General features: G+C 38.9%; 1 protein-coding gene and 1 long non-coding RNA gene across 22 annotated transcripts in view; one reads left to right on the top strand and one right to left on the bottom strand.

The window, feature by feature from the left end:
• Positions 1-19,574, bottom strand: part of IFT25 (intraflagellar transport 25) — a 34,730-nt gene that overhangs the window by 5,542 nt on the left and 9,614 nt on the right. For 4 of the 21 annotated variants that reach the window (NM_001382251.1, NM_001316935.2, NM_001382252.1 and 1 more), the window contains 4 exons: positions 12,922-13,028; positions 11,255-11,323; positions 6,787-6,830; positions 4,444-4,650 (listed from right to left, as the gene is read on the bottom strand). In NM_001382251.1, coding sequence (NP_001369180.1) covers positions 4,534-4,650; positions 6,787-6,830; positions 11,255-11,323; positions 12,922-12,997 — 306 coding nt within the window. In that variant the 5' untranslated portion in view covers positions 12,998-13,028 and the 3' untranslated portion in view covers positions 4,444-4,533. Of the gene's footprint in view, positions 1-4,443; positions 4,651-6,786; positions 6,831-11,254; positions 11,324-12,728; positions 12,827-12,921; positions 13,029-19,574 lie in introns of those variants that run through there. The other 17 variants (XM_047422521.1, XM_047422520.1, XM_047422519.1 and 14 more) reach the window with 9 other exon arrangements.
• On the top strand, positions 1,310-4,466 carry LOC124904181 (uncharacterized). Its single transcript, XR_007066096.1, has 2 exons — positions 1,310-1,477; positions 2,231-4,466. It is a non-coding gene; the product is annotated as an uncharacterized LOC124904181 (long non-coding RNA).

Raw genomic sequence — 19,574 nt, forward strand, 5'->3', positions numbered from 1 at the left:
TGGGGGATAAGAGCAAAACTACATCTCAAAAAAAAAGAAAAACTTGGCAAGACTCCATCTCAAAAAAAAAAAATAAATAAAATTAAAGCATATATAAGTAGAAATACTCCTACAATGAACCTCCATATATCTATCACCCAGATTCAATAATTTATTGCCACATTTGCTTCTTCAACTAACCCTCTTTCCTTTATAAAGGCTCTGCTTAAATAGTAAGCAAATTCCAGATTATCAGGCCATTTCAGTCATCCATAGTTCTATATGCATCTCATATGCTTTATATGCATTTCAGTCACCCATAGTTCTATATGCATTTAAGCTCATGCATTTTATTACATAAGCTTAAAGCCAGTATCACACATAGTAAAAGGAATAACACCCAGTCTACAAGAAAATTTCCTCAATTATCTTAAAATGTCCTTTTTTGGTCAGGCGCAGTGGCTAACACCTGTAATCCCAGCACTTTGGGAGGCTGAGGCAGGCAGATCACCTGAGGTCAGGAGTTTGAGACTAACCTGGCCACCATGGTGAGACCCCCAACTCTACTAAAAATACAAAAATTGGCCAGGCGTGGTGGCAGGTGCCTGTAATCCCAGCTACTCAGGAGGCTGAGGCAGGATAATTACTTGAACCCAGGAGGCACAGGTTGCAGTGAGCTGAGATTGTACCACTGCACTCCAGCCTGGGCAACAAGAGAGAAACTCCGTCTCAAAAAAGAAAAAAAAAAAGTCATTTTTCAGTTTGTCTATTCAAATCAGCATCCATCACGATCCACACATGGCATGTGGTCATAGGAGCTCTTAGGTCTCCTTGAATTTAGAGCAGGCCCCTTTCCTTAATTAACATTTTTTATGCCACTGACTTTTTGAAGAAACCAGGTCGCTTGCCCTGTAGGATGAGCCACATTCTAGACTTGTCTATCAGTTAGGATAGGCTAGGTTATACTGTGGTAACGAGCAATTCCAAAATCTCATTGGCTTAAAACAATGAAGCTTAATTTCTTACTCCTCCTACATACCCATCTCAGATTGAGCTACAGCTGACTGATAAAAACAGAATTCCTTTACCCAAAATACTGAAAAGAATGTAAATAAAAACTTAAACAAATTGATACAAATACTTTAAAGTATATCAGTGACAACTTCCTGTTTAAATAAATATATTGTTAAAAAATCATGCAAGAGCATTTTGTTATAATTACTAGGAAAGATTTGAGGAGCCCTGCTACCTGTTAAACATCAGTATCACTTCCAGACCCAGACTGATAAAAGTAGTTACTGTGTAGAACATTGTTGGTCAATTACGGCACAGGAGGAAAAGAACTCCGAAGGGTCTCACATAGGCAATCAAATGCCTCAGCCTCGAAGTCAATTATTCTTCATCTCATTGGCCAGAACTGGTCACATGGCACTACTTAAGCAAATGCCAGAAGTATTATCTTGCCACGTCCAGGAAAAGCACAAATCTGGACATTTCAGTAAGCTGTATTACTGGCTACTAGTGTATTTGATTCCTTGCAGTGTCGCTTTACTTGTTCCTCTATCTCTTGAGTTTCCTGAAAATGGAGGTTATCTCTAGAGTTTGATTAAATTCAGGTTCAGTAATTTTGGCAAGAGTACTTCATAGGCTGGTCTGTGTGCTTCACATAAAATCACATCAGGAAGCATACTGTGTTTGACTGTAGTAGATTGTAGCATTAATGGCTCCCTCTCACCCCAGCCCATTTTTTCTTTTTTTTGAGATGTAGTTTCACTCTTGTTGTCCAGGCTGGAGTGCAATGGCGTGATCTCGGCTCACTGCAACCTCTGCTTCTCAGGTTCAAGTAATTCTCCTGCCTCAGCCTCCTGAGTAGCTGGGACTACAGGCGCATGCCACCACACCTGGCTAATTTTGTATTTTTAGTAGAAAACAGGGTTTCACCGTGTTGGCCAGGCTGGTCTTGAACCCCTGACCTGAGGTGATTTGCCCACCTCGGCCTCCCTAAGTGCTGGGATTACAGTCATGGGCCACCGTGCTTGGCCCTTTTTTTCAGATTTCCTTGTATTCATGCCCTTGGGCAGGTACCTCTTGTTTTCACTCTGAGCTTGGACACATGACATGATTTGGCAAGCAGACAACAGCAAATCTGATGGCAAACAGAGACTCAAAGACCATTTGCACTGTATTTAGAGATAGCAGAAGAAAAAGAAAACTTTGCACACTGGGGATTTCCCTCTTTGCTACTTTTCAGAAGGCTGAGACCATCATCTGAAAAAGCCTGGGTTAGCCCCCTGGAGGACAAGAAACAACTTGGAGCAGAGATGAACAGTCCTTGCTGAGGCACCTAGATCCCTAACCTGCAAACCTTAAAATATGTGAGTGAAGTCATCCTACACTATCTAGACCATAGGAGTTGCCAGCTGACCACAGATACAGCAAAGCAAGCACAAGCCAGAAAAAAACTGCCAGCATATCCCCAGAATTGTGAGCAAATGAAATTGTTGCATTAAGCCACTATGCTTTGAAGTGGTTTGTAACAGAGCAAAAGCTAACTGATACACTGGTTAATCCATTTTTAATAAATCAATAGATTCAGATCCCTGCATTGTAAAGTTCCCCACCAATCTTTCAATTAATGCTCATCCACTGATTGTTGCCTATATCAATGTTTAATTTCATGCAAATCAATAACTTTTTTCCTTTTTTTTTTTGAGACAGGGTTTTGCTCTGTCACTCAGGCTGGAGTGCAGTGGCACAATCATGACTCACTGAAGCCACGATCTTCTGGGCTCAAGCAAACCTACCACCTCAGCCTCCCAAGCAGCTGAGACTGACTACAGGCACGTACCACTCTGCCTGGTTTTGTTATTTTTAACTTTTTTTGTAGATATGGGGTCTAGCTATGTTGCTCAGGCTGGTCTCGAACTTCTGAGCTTAAGCCATCCTCCCACCTTGGCCTCCCAAAGTGCTGGGATTATAGGTGTGGGCCACCATGCCTGGACTAATGATGATTCTCTAATTCTATCATATCTTCCACATCAATGAGCAGGAATTCTTCTGCAAAGCACTTTCTCTCATCTACCAGGGTTATGTCTGTACATGATAGATGCCCAATTCTTTCCTTTTAAATACAAATATTCAAATGAGTAATTCTGCCCTAGTTACATCCCATGGAGTCCAATGAGGGTTTTGTTTTGGTCTTTTATTTTTTCTCTTCTATCAATATGGATTCACTTTTAAATATATTCAGTATGGTTGTAGTCAACTGTAAAATTTTTTTTCCTGCTCAAATTGCCCTTTTTTTTTTTTTTTTCTAATAAGAGTACCTTCATGTTAGCTTCTGTATCCTCTTGACATTATCCATTAGTCTACTTTCTGGCACAACAAAATGTCCCAGGCTAATCTTGTCTATTTCTTGTCACACTTTTGGAATTGGCCATTCCTCCAAAGAGTCTTGGTTCCAATTAATGGGAAAGGTATTTAGAGATCACAATCTGGGTATTTGATGTGCTCACTGATACTTGGATGTCACTGCTTCTAGATCTTTTCATGGACTTAAGAAATAGTATTCTTAAATAAGAGAAAGAGGGCCGGGTGTGGTGGCTCACGCCTGCAAACCCAATGCTTCGGGAGGCTGAGGTGGGCAGATTGCTTGAGCCCAGGAGTTTGAGACCAGCCTTTACTCCAGCCTGGGTGACAGGGCAAGACTTTATCTCAAAAACAACAACAAAAAGTAAGATTATGTGTTTCTAACCCTTCTCTGAGGTTTTCAAGCCAGAACAAATAAAAGTAAAGGCCGGGTGCGGTGGCTCATGCCTGTAATCCTAGCACTTTGGGAGGCCAAGGTGGGCAGATCGCTTGAGCTCAGGAGTTTGAGACAATCCTGGGCAACACGGTGAAACCCCTTCTCTACAAAAAATACAAAAACTAGCCAGGCATGGCGTTATGCACCTGTAGTCCCAGCTACTTGGGAAGCTGAGGTGGGAGGATGGCTTGAGTCCAGGGGATGGAGGCTGCAGTGAGCCAAGATCGAGCCACTGCACTATAGCCTGGGTGACAGCTAGACCCTACTGCAAAAAAATATTTTTTTTAATTAAAAAGTAAAATCACTCGTTTTACAGGGCCCACCTCAGGTTCCATAACCTCAGTGAAACCCTTCCATAAGTACTTTCTCTTTTCTGACTTCTTACATTGTTTACTGTCTATATTGCTCACTTAGTCCTTTGCATCAATCAATCAATTAAAAAATTAATGCACTACGATCTGAAGAGCACCAGAGTGGATGCTGTGGGGATGCAATGTATTACCCATTAAATTTTCATGTGCAGTCACTTCCTTGATTAAGCTATATACTGAAGCCAAACCTTTCTAATTTCCCCCATGGTGGCCAGTACTGCTGATTGATAAAAACAGAATTCCTTTACCCCAAATATTGAAAAGAATGTAAATAAAAACTGAAACAAATTGATAAAAATCCTTTTAATAAAGTATATCAGTGACAACTTCCTGTTTAAATATATTGTTAAAAAATCATGCAAGAGCATTTTGTTATCATTATGAGGAAAGATTTGAGACTACTGTTCCTTCTGCAGAAACGCTATGCACAGATGCAAAATGATCAAAGGCTGATACAATAATGAATCTCAAGTAAGTAGCGGAGCCATCATGTGCCTGTATGGGAAAAAAATCAATATAAATGCTTTTAGCAGTGCTAGTTAACTGTTAACAAGCAGTTAGCAAAAGAAACAGCTTGATGCAAGAGTAATATTCTAAATATATAACAACACATAAGGCCAGCTACATATAATAGTTGTGGTACATATCAGCTAAATACCAGCCTTGATTTGATGAAAAATAGCAACTGGAGCTAAAAACTGCAACTCTCATTTTTTGTAGGGACAGGGTCTCACCGTGTTGCCCAGGCTGGTCTTGAACTAGCCTCAAAGCTAGTCTCCCAAAGTGCTGGGATTACAGGCATGAGCTACCATGCCCAGTTTCTAATTTTTTAAAAGTGTCAGCTGGGCTCAGTGGCTCACACCTGTAATCCCAGCACTTTGGGAGGCTGAGGCCGACAGATCACCTGAGGTTGGGAGTTTGAGAACAGCCTAACCAACATGGAGAAACCCTGTCTCTACTAAAAATACGAAATTAGCTGGGCGTGGTGGCACGCACCTGTAATCCCAGCTACTTGAGAGGCTGAGGCAGGAGAATCGCTTGAACCCGGGAGGCAGAGATTGCAGTGAGCAGAGATCGCACCACTGCACTCCAGCCTGGGCAACAAGAGCAAAATTCCGTCTCAAAAAAAAAAAAAAAAAGTGTCTTTCTAAAGTATTTTTCATAATAAAGAAGTTTCCTTTGGTTAATGTTGCCTCAGAATACGCTACCCTGAAGCATGACTACATTTTTATATTTATATAATTTCTCTGGAAAGCAATTAGCCAATATATTTTAAAAGCTATAAGTATGTTTACAACCTTGCACCCAGTAATTCTATTCCTTGAAATTTAATCTTAGAAAGTAAGAAAAAAGGTGAAGGTACCAGTAGCAGGAATATGCATAGATGTCCCCTGTGTATTACAGAGGGGACAAACTGTGTAATGACAGAGGGAAGAAAAAGAAAATTAGTTTAAATGTATGCCAACTGGCAAATGTTATTTTAAAATTGTACTTACGAAGCCTGTGATATAATACTAAGTTAAAAAAAAAGATGACACAAAATTGTTCACACATTATTATTCTAACTGTACAGCATATGGTCAACAACTAGAAGAAAATAAATACAGTAAAAGTTTTTGTGACAGGGTAATAAAATTCTGGGTGATTTCCAGCCTCCCATTCCCCCTTGCTATTTTCCAAATTTTCTATAATGCTGTAACCCTCCACAGTGGAGTCCTGAAACAATATACGAAAGGTAGCAGGGGCTTACTAATCATAACCCACTAGGTAAAGACAGAAAAAAACAGGAAGATAAAATTCAGTAACATTAATCATTTTTCAGGACCTCACTGGCCTCCCCAGTACTTGGGTGAATTTTGGTGGGAGAGAAAGGAACTAATGGGATTCAAAAACTTCCTACAGAATTTTTTGAAACACTGATTTAATAGCAGCTTCTGGCAAGTTGTGAAGAAGTAAACTTAATGGATAAGGTACTATTTTAACCCTCATTTAGGGAAACCTTAATTAAACAAAGCATGACCACCTAATAGATATTCAGTTGTTTTGTGTTTGTCTAAAACCAGGGCCTGACCAACTACCAGGAATAGCGGAACTCCTGATGAGGCAGCAGCTTCCTCATCAACGGGCATTCATTTCACTTGACAAGCAAAGCCCAATGGAATGTTGTCGAAAAATACTGGTTGTCTTTCCACCTCATCTCTCTTTGGCTTATTTGTTGCTGATCCTATGCTCTAGTTCCCCTTATATGAATCTCACTTGTCCTTTCATGCTTAAATTAACATTCAATTTTGGCATCGCGACCCTTTTTTCATTCCTATTCTAAAATGCCTACAGAATCAAATGAAAGAAAGCAAACCAAATAAATACTTCAAAGTAAATGAATGAGAAAAATAAAACAAAAAATAAATGAATTGTTTTATCTTGCCGTCACTCTCTATGAAAGGTAAGAACCTAATTTATGAATGTACATTTAGCTTATATTATTATTGAGAATAACTTTCTCTACCGGTTGATTTAGGTACAAACCTATAATATCATGAGGAAATTTATTAACTATGACTATGGAGATAGGTTAAAGTCTAAATACATTGTGCAGGTTAATTTTTAATTCTATAAAGTATATTCACTTACCACAATTTCTTCATTTTGAAGCTGCCCCTCTGTGTGTACCAAATCTAAAACATAAATGTAACAGAAGAAATGAGTTAAGGGTCAAAATACATGAGAATAGCTATTGAAATTTATGTTCAGCAAAATATGATATCTGGTAAATTATGAGACCAGGTTTGAAGGAATCATCGTTTGCATGTTGAAATTTAATTTAAAAATAGAGGTATATGATACACAAGGCAAAAAAGATAAACTATGAGCTATAAAATATCCTAGTGAGTATAAGCAAAAGGAAATGCAAAGGTCAATTATATTAATAGTAAAAGGATATAAGGAACTGATAAAATGTGAAAATTTCTTTTTAAAACATTTATTTAAAAAAAATCCCCCTTTCAAGAAAAAAAAGTGAACATTTGAGGATCCAGCTACTAACAGAAAGGAGCCATTTTGCCATAGCCACGGGAAACAACTAGAGCTGAGTTTCTCAGTGAAACTTTCACTATGATGCATAATTGTGTGGCCCATGAAGTAATCTTTTCTGGTATCCAAATTTTAAAAATGTTTCCTTATGTAATTTTAGAGCAGATTAATTTATTTCATCATGAGTTAATCATATCAAACAATTCTTCTGGAAACATGAAAGATTTAATTGCTATAATGGTAGCTAATGACAGCCGGGCACAGTGGCTCACGCCTGTAATCCCAGCACTTTGGGAGGCCGAGGTGGGCGGATCACGAGTTCAGGAGATCAAGACCATCCTGGCTAACATGGTGAAACCCTGTCTCTACTAAAAATACAAAAAAATTAGCCGGGTGTGGTGGCAGGCGTCAGTAGTCCCAGCTACTCGGGAGGCTGAGGTAGGAGAATGGCGTGAACCCAGGAGGCGGAGCTTGCAGTGAGCCGAGATCGCGCCACTGCACTCCAGCCTGGGTGACAGGGCAAGACTCCATCTCAAAAAACAACAACAACAAAAAAGATAGCTAATGACAGTATTCAAAATTAACTTCACATTAAATAATGTACACAATGTAAAAGCCCCGTAGTATTAAAAGAGAAGTCTCTGTGTTTCTGTTTCCTAACCCTTTTCTGAAATAATGAAAATCAGTAATCTGCTTTACCCCTTCTTTCTCCTCTAGTCCTGCTTCCTAGAAGTAAACATTCTCAACTCTTCAAGCTATTTTTCCTGAAATTATAATATGCTTTTATTCCTTTTTGATAAATTTTTTACTGACTTTATATAGTATGGTAGGTAAAATTTTAGCTTTTTAAAACCGAAATCCCCTCTTCTTCCTCCTTCAACTTCTCCCTCTTTACCTCCTCTCAAATTTGAAATCCTACTTGATGGTTACATTACTCTGTCTATCTAAAGGTTATTTACTCCTGAAATAATACATTATAATGATATTTTCTTTCTTGTACAACTCTATCACCAGAAATTAATAATAAACTTTTTCATTTGCTTAGTTTTTTTAGTTATGAAAAATTGAAAAATATCGGCTGGGCATGGTGGCTCACACCTGTAATCCCAGCATTTTGGGAGGCTGAGGCGGGCAGATCACAAGGTCAGGAGATTGAGACCATCCTGGCTAACACGGTGAAACCCCATCTCTACTAAAAAAAAAATACAAAAAATTAGCTGGGCATGGTGGCGGGCACCTGTAGTCCCAGTTACTCGGGAGGCTGAAGCAGGAGAATGTCGTGAACCCAGGAGGTGGAGCTTGCAGTGAGCCGAGATCACGCCACTGCACTCCAGCCTGAGCAATAGAGTGAGACTCAGTCTCAAAAAAAAAAAAAGAAAAGAAAAAAGAAAAATATCAAACATACTTAGGAGAGAACATAAAAAAACTCCCACATATACCCATAAGCTAGATTTTATAATTACTAACATTTCATCATAGTGGATTTATCAATTTTTTTTTTCACTAAAGTATTTTAGGCCAGGTGTGGTGGCTCACTCCTATAATACCAGCACTATGGGAAGCTGAGGTGGGTGGACGATTTGAGGTCAGGAGTTTGAGACCAGCCTGGCCAACATGGTGAAAACTCTGTCTCTACCAAAAATACAAAAATTAGCCAGGCAACGTGGTGCACGCCTGTAATTCCAGCTACTCAGGAGGCTGAGGCAGGAGAATCACTTGAACCTGGGAAGCGGAAGTTGCAGTGAGCCGAGATTGCGCCACTGCACTCCAGTCTCAAAAAAAAAAAAAAAAAAAAAGTTAAAGCAAGTGCAAGTGTAAGACATTATTGACATTTCATCTCTAAATACTTTTTTGTTCTTTTGAGACAGGGTCTCACTCTGTCGCCTAGATTGGAGTGTACTGGCACAATCTCAGCTCATGGCAACCTTCACCTCTGAGGCTCAAGTGATCCTCCTTCCTCAGCCTCCCAAGCAGCTGGGACTACAGGTGCATGCCACCACACCTAGCAAATATATATGTATATTTTTTGTAGAGACAAGATTTCTCCATGTTGCCCAGGGTAGTTTCTTGAATTCCTGAGATCAAACGATCCGCCCACCTCAGCCTCCTAAAATGCTGGGATTATGGGCGTGAGCCTAGCTTCCCCTAAATACTTAATTATCCATTTCTAAATAATAATTCTTTATATAACCATAATACCACCATCATAACATTAAAAATAGTGGTTTAATATAATATGAAACCCAATTCCTATTCAAATTTCCCCAATTGTCCCTGTCTTTTTTAATTGGTTTATTAAAATCAGAATTAAGTCTCTTTTAACCTTCAACTGCTTTCTCTCCCCTACACACATTTTTTAATGTCTTTGACTTACTGAAGAGACCAGGTCAGTTGTCCTGTACAATGTCCCACATTCTAGATTTTTTTTTTTTTTTAAAGAGATGGGGTCTTGCTCTGTCACCCAGGCTGGAGTGCAGTGGCATGATCACAGCTCATTGCAGTCTCAACCTCCTGGGCTCAAGTGGTCCTTCCATCTCAGCCTCCCAAGTAGCTACGATTACAGGCACATGTCACCATCCCTGGCTAATTTTTAATTTTTTTTTGTAGAGACAACATCTTGCCATGTTTCCTAGGCCAGTCTTGAACTCCTGGACTCATGCAATCCTCCTCCCTCAGCCTCCCAAAGTGTTGGGATTACAGGCATGAGCCACTGTGCCCAGGCCCCACATTCTAGATTTTATCATCTTGTCTATTCGTGGTTTCACTTAATTTGTTCCTCTATCCTCTACATTTCTTATAGATTGGAAATTAGAGCTAAAAGCTTGATTATATTCAGGGTTTGAGGTCTTCATTAATGTCTTGTGATCTTTCTTTTGTTACTTGTGGATCATTTGAAAACTGTGCATCATTTGAAAACTGTGTGCATGAGCCACACTTATTGATTACTGGACTTAAATAAGGTGACCAGAAATGAGCTGGCCTTTGTCAGTATCCATAGGTCTTTTTTCTAGGGCCATTTAGTTTCTCCAAAGATGAATGTTCCAGTCTCCCAGCTGAGGGTATATTCTTGGCTGCTGAAGTTAATACCAGAACACAGGAAGGAGGCTGGTGTTCCCACTATTCAATATGTAGGCTTCCACTAGTATCGTATTTTCAACTCCATGTCTCACTCACTCCCTACTATATCTGGTCTCCTGAGCCTCAACATTCTATATTTGCAGTTGTCTCTTGAGGGTTGTGGTGGAGGTCTGTGGGATAAAGGAGTGGTCACCTAGTTTTGTAGGACGGAAGAAGGTACCTAGAGTCTGATTACTCTGTAAATAGATGTTCAACTAATCATCCTTGTTTTCTGACCCAGGTCTCATTCATACTTCCCATGGCACCTGTTGCCTTTGAGCTCTAGGCCTTTCTGGGGTTTTGTGTGGCAAAGTGGCTTGCTTCTTATTGACATGCTCCTTGTCAAGACCTTAGGTTATAACACAGTTCATTCAGCTAAAGAAGTTACTACTCTTCAATCTGCTTTCTCTTTATCATAATATACACTGATCTCTCACATTTGCTTTAGTTTGCTGGTTGTTAAATCTTTTGTCCTTGTAGGTTTATGCCTCTTTTTATTCCTTTAATATTATTTTCATGGTATTTTGAAAGGGAAAATAGACATATGAAGGCAAGATGCTGTGTTTAATTAAGTAGAGGCTATCAATTCTGCTGGTGATATTTAAATAGTACCCTTAATCAGGACAAAAGGAAAGAAGATGAGAAACTAATATTTATTGTCTATTATATGCCAGACACTAGTTCACCAAAACCTTGAATGATAGATATCATCACCATTTTCCTAATAAGGATTCTGAAACTGAGAAAAATTAAGTCACATGTTAATACTTATATAACCAGTAAATGAAGAAGCAGCTTTGTATTCAAACCTGGGTCTTTCTAGACCCTAAATGTGTCACAAGGATCATTAAAGTCATCTTTTTTCACCAAAGTGCAGCTAGATGAGAAATGCAGAATCAAAGGAATATTATCTACTCCTTCATGCTCAGAACAATGCTGGTGAAACACATACCTTTTTCAATCCATTGCTCAAAATCAACTGGCTCTTTAGACGTGCTTTTTTCAATCTTCAAGGTCTGTACTAACATTGTAAACAAAGTAAGTAAAGTGTTAATCTGGCTGTATGTTTTTGTCCCTATATTTCTTTTTCCCTCTGCCTGAGATTATCATGCACAGTGGAACTACACAGAGCACTGGGATCAGAAACAACATGGAAGTTACTCTGTATGTTTCCAAAAAACCCTATGGTAAAATATAGTCTTGTGTAACTAATCTTCCAAATGTTCGCAACCATACAACACAGAGCAAGTAGAGCTTTTCTGAATTTGGCATTGTTCCGATTTTTTTGTGTGTATGGCGATAATACTACTATTGGTGGTCTTGGTCATAAACATTTATGGAGAGCCTATGATGAGTCAAACATATTTATCCATTCACTTTTGACTACAATCTTATGAGAAAGGTACTTTAACCCACTTTACTGGTGAGAAAACAGGTTTAGAGGAGCCAAGCAAGGTGTTCAATGATATACAGCTCATAAGTGCCAGAAATGGAATTCAAACTTTAGGTATGACTCTAGAACCTCCACGATTAATGAGAGAAGAGACTTATCAGGAATACAGTCATCTTCCTTCTAAACTGGTTTTTCTCCACTGCTCCAGTCCAGTCTCTACCACTCCAGATCCATTCCTCCTCTTCTTTGTCCTGTTCTGTGCCATGAGGGGCTAACCTCTGTGGACTCTATCACCTGGATTCATTTACCCACTGGCTTCTGATTGGATTGGATTTGGCCAGTGGGAGACACCAGGGGGAGACTGGGGTGGGGAAGGGAGATCAGCCAATTTTATCTCCACTCCCTCCCTGCTTCAGTGTGACATCTTTGACAGTTTCTCCTGCCTACAGCTCCTATTAGGCCCTTTTACACAGGCTTCAGCTCTCACAGATCTCTGATAACACTATTTCCTTCCCTGTGCCAGGGCTAGTTACAGCTTCCTGCTATAGCTAGTTTCTGAGGGCCTCATCATTCCTTGCCTTGTTTGTTCCCTTAACCCAGGCCATAATTTTGCAAGTAGCCCCATCAATAGAGCCTCTTCATTTGAACCATCTGGGATGTATTCTGTTTCCCGCCATGATTTTGTCTGATACATTTTATCTTTAAATAAATAGGATTAGAATGATGTCCCAAGGGAGATTATCCCCCTAAATTCCTGAGAAAATGCCACTAGTAATAGAAGAATCTCAACTATCCAATGTAAATAATCAGAGTTATCAGATTTTCAACAAGAATTTGACAAATAACTCCAGGACAAATGAATCTAGAATAAAGATGTCATGGAATAGTGTTCTAGCAAGCTGGAGTCTTATGTTCCTAATAGGGCCTTTTGCCAAAGACTTTTACATAGTAAATTGCATGGAAATTATTATGTGCTTTGGAAGGGTTTCGAATTTGCAGTTTGAGAGAGGCCAACTGAGCTCAAGGCATTTACCTCATAATCCCCATCCTTTCACCCCAGCAATAAAACTGGATTCCATGCTATAAAGAAAAACTAGTGTTTTGCCAAAAGTTTACATATATGCCTTCTGCCTGTGGAAAAAATGAAAGGATAATGAAAACTAAAATATTAGCCTTACCTGGAGCACCAAAAAAAAAAAAAAAAAATTAATGTAAGATTTGCTTACCAAAGTAACTTTGGATTACAAGCCTTTCAATCCTTACATGTTTGTGGAAACAAATAATGAATTCCTGGGGAAACATTCCTGTGGTGGTCCAAAACGTTTCTGGATTCCTATTGTTAATTTTAAAGAAAAAATAAGAATAGCCAAATATAAATGGTTAATCATAAAATTTTATTGAATACCTGTTTTTTAAAATTAAATGACTACTGGATTCTCACATCTCCTTTCTGTTAATTCTGCCTCTAATCTCTCTCCAACTTTAATAATTCTTCTTTACTACTACCAGGTATTCTTTTCTAAAACACAGAAACGGAATTGATGTCACTTCTATCTAAATGCCTCAGTGGTCCCTTTATTGCCTATAATTCTAAACTCCTTCGTATGGCATTTAAGACTGTAGGATCTGGTTCCACCATTAAGTTATAGTCTCTTCCATCACTGTGGTCACACTGGGCCACTTAAAATTCTGCAAATATGTTAGGCAGGCTCTTGCTTCTGTACCTTAGTTCATTCATGAGGTTTTTTTTTTACCTGAAAAACCGTTCTTCCCCTTGCATAAGTTCATTCACTTTCTGGTCCCATTTATCTAACCCCACCAAATCAGAATCACTTCCTCCCTCTTTTGCACTTATCTCATACTCAGCCTCCATCTCTACATTGGCACTTAATCTCCTGTGTTTCTATGGCTCCCACTAGATGCTGAGCTCTGAGTCCAGTTTCTTTCTCTTACTCACCTTTGTAACCCTACAACTGCTACAATGGCTCACCCATAGTAGACACATGCTAAATGTTTGTTCAAACAAAAATTAAAACATGCACTCAATTTTAAGTCATATATAGGCAAAATAGTATATATTATGGTTTTGACTACAGAAATAATCATTTCTATTTTAACTATATAAGCTTTTCTTTTTTTGGAAGTAAAATTTACCTACAGTGGAATTTACCTTAAGGGCATAACTTAGTGAGTTTTGATAAATGTATACGCTTATGTAACCAATACTCCAATGAAAATACAGAACATTTCCGTGACTCCAGAATTTCCCTTATCTTTCCTTCCAGACAATCCCTACCTCCCTTAGGCAACCAGTGCTCTGATTTCTATCACCACCAACTATGCTACAATGTTTCCATTCGTGATTTTGTTTGATATTTTTGTTGGGTATTTTAATTGCTTGCAGCTTTTTACTATTAGGAACAAAGCTGCTCTAAGTATTCTTGTACAAGTGCTTGTGAACATGTTTTCATTTCTCTGGGTAATTACTAAGAGTGGAATTGCTGGGACATAGGGTAAAAGTATATTTAACTTTATAAGAAACTGTCAGCTTTCCAAAGTGGTTGTACTATTTTGCGCTCCATTTTCTTTCTTGTCATGTCTTTGTCAGGCTTTGCTATCAGGATAATGTTGTTCTCATAAAACAATTTGGGAAATGTTTCCTTCTCTATTTTTGAGAAAGTTTGTGGAAGACTGGTATTTCTTCCCTAAATATTTGACCGAATTTAATTTCCATAATAGATATGAGGCTGTCCAGAATTTCCAATTGATCTTGTGTTATTTTTATAGGTCGAGCTTTACAAGAAATCTGTCCATTTCATCTAAGTTGTCAAATGTATTAGCTTAAATTTGTTCTTTATATATGATTCCTTTAGAATCTGTAGTGATATTACTTTCATTCCTGGTTCTAATAAATTGCATTTTCTTTATTTCTTGGCTAATCTTGTTAGAGGTTTATAACTTTTATTAATCCTTACAAATAATCAACTTTAGGCTTTATTATTTTTTCTAATAATTGTCTATTTTGTTGATTTCTGCTCTCACCTTTACTATTTATTTTCTTCTATTTACTTTGGGTTTAATTTGCTCATTTTTTTCTAGCTTCCTAAGGTGAAAATTTAGATTATTGGTTTTACATTTTTTTCCTTTTTAACATAAGTATATATGCTATTACTTTCCCTTGAGACACTGCTTTAGCTGCATCCTACAAATTTGGTATGTTACATTTTCAACGTCATTCTGTTAGAAATACTTTCTAAGGCCAGGCATGGTGGCTCACTCCTGTAATCCCAGCACTCTGGGAGGCTAAGGAGGGTGCTCACCTGAGGTCAGCAGTTCAAGACCAGCCCGACCAACATGGTGAAACCCCGTCTCTACTAAAAACACAAAAATCAGCCAGGTGTGGTGGCACATGCCGGTAGTCTCAGCTACTTGGGAGGCTGAGGCCCAGGAGGCAGAAGTTGCCATGAGCTGAGATTGCACCACTGCACTCCAGCCTGGATGACAGAGGGAAACTCCATCTCAAAAAAAAAAAAAAGAAAGATTTTCTAAGATCCCTTCTGATTTCTTTTTTGACCCATGGGTTATTTAGAAGTGCAGTGTTTAATTTCTAAGTTTTGGGGGGTTTTCTGAATATCTTTTTGTTGTTTATTTCTAATTTAATTACACAGTGGTCAGAGAACATACTATCTAAGATTTTAATCTTGAAATATATTGAGACTTATTTTATGTTTCAGCACATTTCAGTGAATGTTCAATATGCTGGGTTTTAAGAGACAGAGTCTCGCTCTGTCACCCAGACTGCAGTGCAGTGGCACAATCTTGGCTCACTGCAGCATTGACGTCCTGGGCTCAAGCCATCCTCATGCCTCAGCTCCAAAAGGAGCTGGGACTACAGGTACACGCCACCATGACTGGCTAATTTTTGTGTTTTTTCGTAGAGATGGGGTTTTGTCATGTTGTCCAGGCTGGTCTCACACTCCTGAGCTCGGGCAATCCGCCTGCCATGGCCTCCCAAAGTGCTGGGATTACAGGCGTGAGCCACCATACACAACCCATCAATACATTCTTGTTCCATGTTGTTGATTATAGTGTTCTATAACCGTCAACAAAGTCAAGGTTATGACATTATTCAGATCATCTATGTCTTTATTGATTTTCTGCCAAATTGTTCTATCATTACTGAGAAAAGGGTATTAAAATCTCTAACTATAACTGTGAATTTGTCTATTTCTCCCTTTCATCTGTCAGATTTTGCTTTATGTAGTTTAAAGAACTATTATTAGGTCCATATACACTTAGGATTATCCTCTCTTCCTTTTTCTCTTTTTTTTTTTTTTTTTTGAGGCGGAGTCTCACTCTGTCGCCCAGGCTGGAGCGCAGTGCACAATCTTGGCTCACTGCAAGCTCCGCCTCCCGGGTTCATGCCATTCTCCTGCCTCAGCCTCCCGAGTAACTGGGACTACAGGCATGCGCCACCACGCCTGGCTAATTTTTTTTATTTTTAGTAGATACGGGGTTTCACCATGTTAGCCAGGATGGTCTCGATCTCCTGACCTCGTGATCCGCCCGCCTCGGCCTCCCAAAGTGCTGGGATTGCAGGCGTGAGCCACCGCACCCAGCTATCCTCTCTTCCTAATGAACGGACTCTCTAACACTATAACGTGTCCCCTTTGTCTCTGGTAATACTCCTTGTCTTATATTTTTGTCTGACATGAATATAACTACAGCGACTTTCTTATGTAAACTGTTTGTAGGATGCATCTTCTTTCATCCTTTTATTTTCAACTATTCATATCTTTATATTTAAAGTGCATATCTTTTAGACAATATATATTTGGGTCTTGGATTTTTATCCAGTCTGACAATCTGATATTTAACTGGAGTGTTTAGCCTCACTGATATTTAGTGTAACTACTGATATGGTTGGGTATAAGTCTACCATCCTGCTATTCATTTTTGTCTCTCCCTCCTATTCTTGTCCTGTTTCTTCTCTCCTGTTTCTGAGTGAATAATTTTTTTAAAATTCCATTTAATTCCTCTATTTTTTTTTAGCTATACCTCCTTTATTAGAAATTTTTGAAATAGCTGCTCTCTAGGTTACAACATAAAAACCTCATGATAGTCAATTTACACTGAACATCACTTTTGTGCCATTGTTGTCATATATTTTACATATATAATATATCCCATAATACAGTTTTTTTCATTAAGTGGTCAGTTATCTTTCAAAAAAATTAAAAGAGGAAAAAAAGGCAGTCTTTTATATTTACCCAAATATTTATCATTTCCAGTACACTTAATTTCTTCTTATAGGTTTGATTTTCCATCTAATATTATACCTCTTCAACCTGCAGGATTTCCTTTAGCATTCCTTATGATGCAGGTCTACTTGTGATGAAAAATGCCTTTATCCTATCTTCATTTTTGGAAGATAGTTTAGCTAGACACAGAATTCTGGGTTGACAGGGTTTTTAAATATTTGCTTGTTTCTCCCTTCCCCAGTATTTAAAAGATATTGCTCCATTGTTGTCTGGCTTCCACTGTTTGTGATGTAAAGTCAGCTGTCATTAGCACTATTGTTCCTCTGTATATAATAGTTTTTATTTCCTTCTAGCTATTTTAAATATTTTTTTCCTTTTTCAGCAGTTTGACTAAGATACAATGTCTGTATTTATCTAGCTTGGGGCTTGCTGAGTTTTTTGGGTCTATAAGTTGGTATTTTAAAATAAAATTGGGAAAAATTCAGCTCAAAAGTAGAAACAACCCAGATGTCCATCAACTGATGAATGCGTAAATAAAATGTGCTATATCCATACAATGAAATCTTGACAATAAATAAGAATGAAGTACTGATATGTGCTACAACATGGATTAACCCTGAGAACATGTAAGTGAAAGAAACCAGGCCAGGTGTGTTAGCACATGCCTGTAATCCAAGCACTCTGGGAGGCCAAGGCAGGTAGGTTGCTTGAGGTCAGGAGTTCAAGACCAGCACAGCCAACATGGTAAAACCCTGTCTCTACTAAAAATACAGAAATGAGCCAGGTGTAGTGGTGCACACCTGTAGTCATAGCTACTTGGGAGGCTGGGACATGAGAATCACTTGAACTCAGCAGGCAGAGGTTGCAGTGAGCTGAGACTGCACCACTGCATTCCAGCTTGGATGACAGAGCAAGACTCTGTCTCAAAAAAACAAAAAACGAAAGAAAGAAACCAGTCACGGCTGGGGGTTGTGGCTTACGCCTGTAATCCCAGCACTTTGGGAGGCTGATGCAGGTGGATCATGAGGTCAAGAGATCAAGACCATCCTGGCCAACATGGTGAAACTCCGTCTATACTAAAAATACAAAAATTAGACGGATGTGGTGGGGCCTGCCTTAATCCCAGCTACTCGGGAGGCTGAGGCAGGAGAATCGCTTGAACCCAGGAGGCAGAGACTGCAGTGAGACAAGATTGCGCCACTGCACTCCGACACTGTTTCAAAAGAAACCAGTCACAAAAGACCACATGTGTATGGTTCTATTTATATGAAATGTCTCAATAGATAAAATCTACAGAAACAAAGTAGATTAATGCTTGCCTAGGGCTAGTATGGATGGGAAAATACAGGGTGACTGATAACAAGTGTGGGGTTTCTTGTGTGGGGTTTCTTTTTGGGATGATGAAAACGTTCTAAAATTGATTGTGGAGATGGCTATGTAACTCTGTGAATAGGCTGGAAGCCACTGAATTGTATATTCTAAATGGGCGAATTGTATGGTATGTGAATAATATGTCAATAAAGTTGTTACCCACCCCCAAAAAAAGGCCAGAACTACTTTTTTTTTTTTTTTAAGAGACAGGGTCTTGCTCTCTCACTCAGGCTGGAGTACAGTGGCACAAACTTCTGGGCTCAAGTGATCCTCCTGCCTTGGCTTCCCAAAGTGCTGGGATTATAGGTGTGAACCACCTTGCCCAGCCAAGGCCAGCTCTCCTAACTCAAAATTCTGGGTTTTTATAAAATGCTTAATATTTTACAATCTCCTTTCATATTTATATTATTTTAAATTTTACTTATTGAAATTCATTAATTTTAATTGCCTCATGTTTTTCTTTGGATGCTTTCAATGAACATAACCAATAGAATAACATAAAATATCACCTGAATTTTAAAATGACATCTAACTAGGCCGGGCGCGGTGGCTCATGCCTGTAATCCCAGCACTTTGGGAGGCTGAGGCGGGCTGATTATGAGGCCAGGAGTTTGAAACCAGCCTGGCCAATATGGTGAAACCCTGTCTCTTAAAAAAAAAAAAGAAACCCTGTCTCTACTAGAAATACAAAAAATTAGCTAGGCCTGGTGGCGTGCATCTGTAATCCCAGCTACTCGGAAGGCTGAGGCAGAAGAATCACTTGAACCTGGGAGGCAGAGGTTGCAGTAAGCCGAAATCGTGCCACTGCACTCCAGCCTAGGCAATAGAACAAGATTCCATCTCAAAAAAACAAAAATTAGTCGGACATGGTGGTGCATGCCTGTAGTCCCAGCTACTCAGGAGGCTGAGGCAGGAGAATCGCTTGAACCCAGGAGGCAGAGGTTGCAGTGAGCCGAGATTGTGCCACTGCACTCCAGCCTGGGTGACAGAGTGAGACCTTGTCTCAAAAAAAATAAAAAAGACATCTAACTAAATCTTGTAATTATGTATAAGGAAGTCATCAAAGTGGTAGTTTTCTTTTAAATACGAATTTATAGCTAACACCTATTTTACATGGATTATCTCATGTGATTTTTTTCTCAATTCTGAGGTCAGCAGGAAAGGTGGTATTATCCCCATTTTTCAGATCAGTAACTGAGGCTCAAAGAGTAATATATGTACTCTTTGACCAAGATAACACATAATTC

Source organism: Homo sapiens, chromosome 1, assembly GCF_000001405.40.
Source record: "Homo sapiens chromosome 1, GRCh38.p14 Primary Assembly".
NCBI classification, from domain to species: Eukaryota; Metazoa; Chordata; class Mammalia; order Primates; family Hominidae; genus Homo; species Homo sapiens.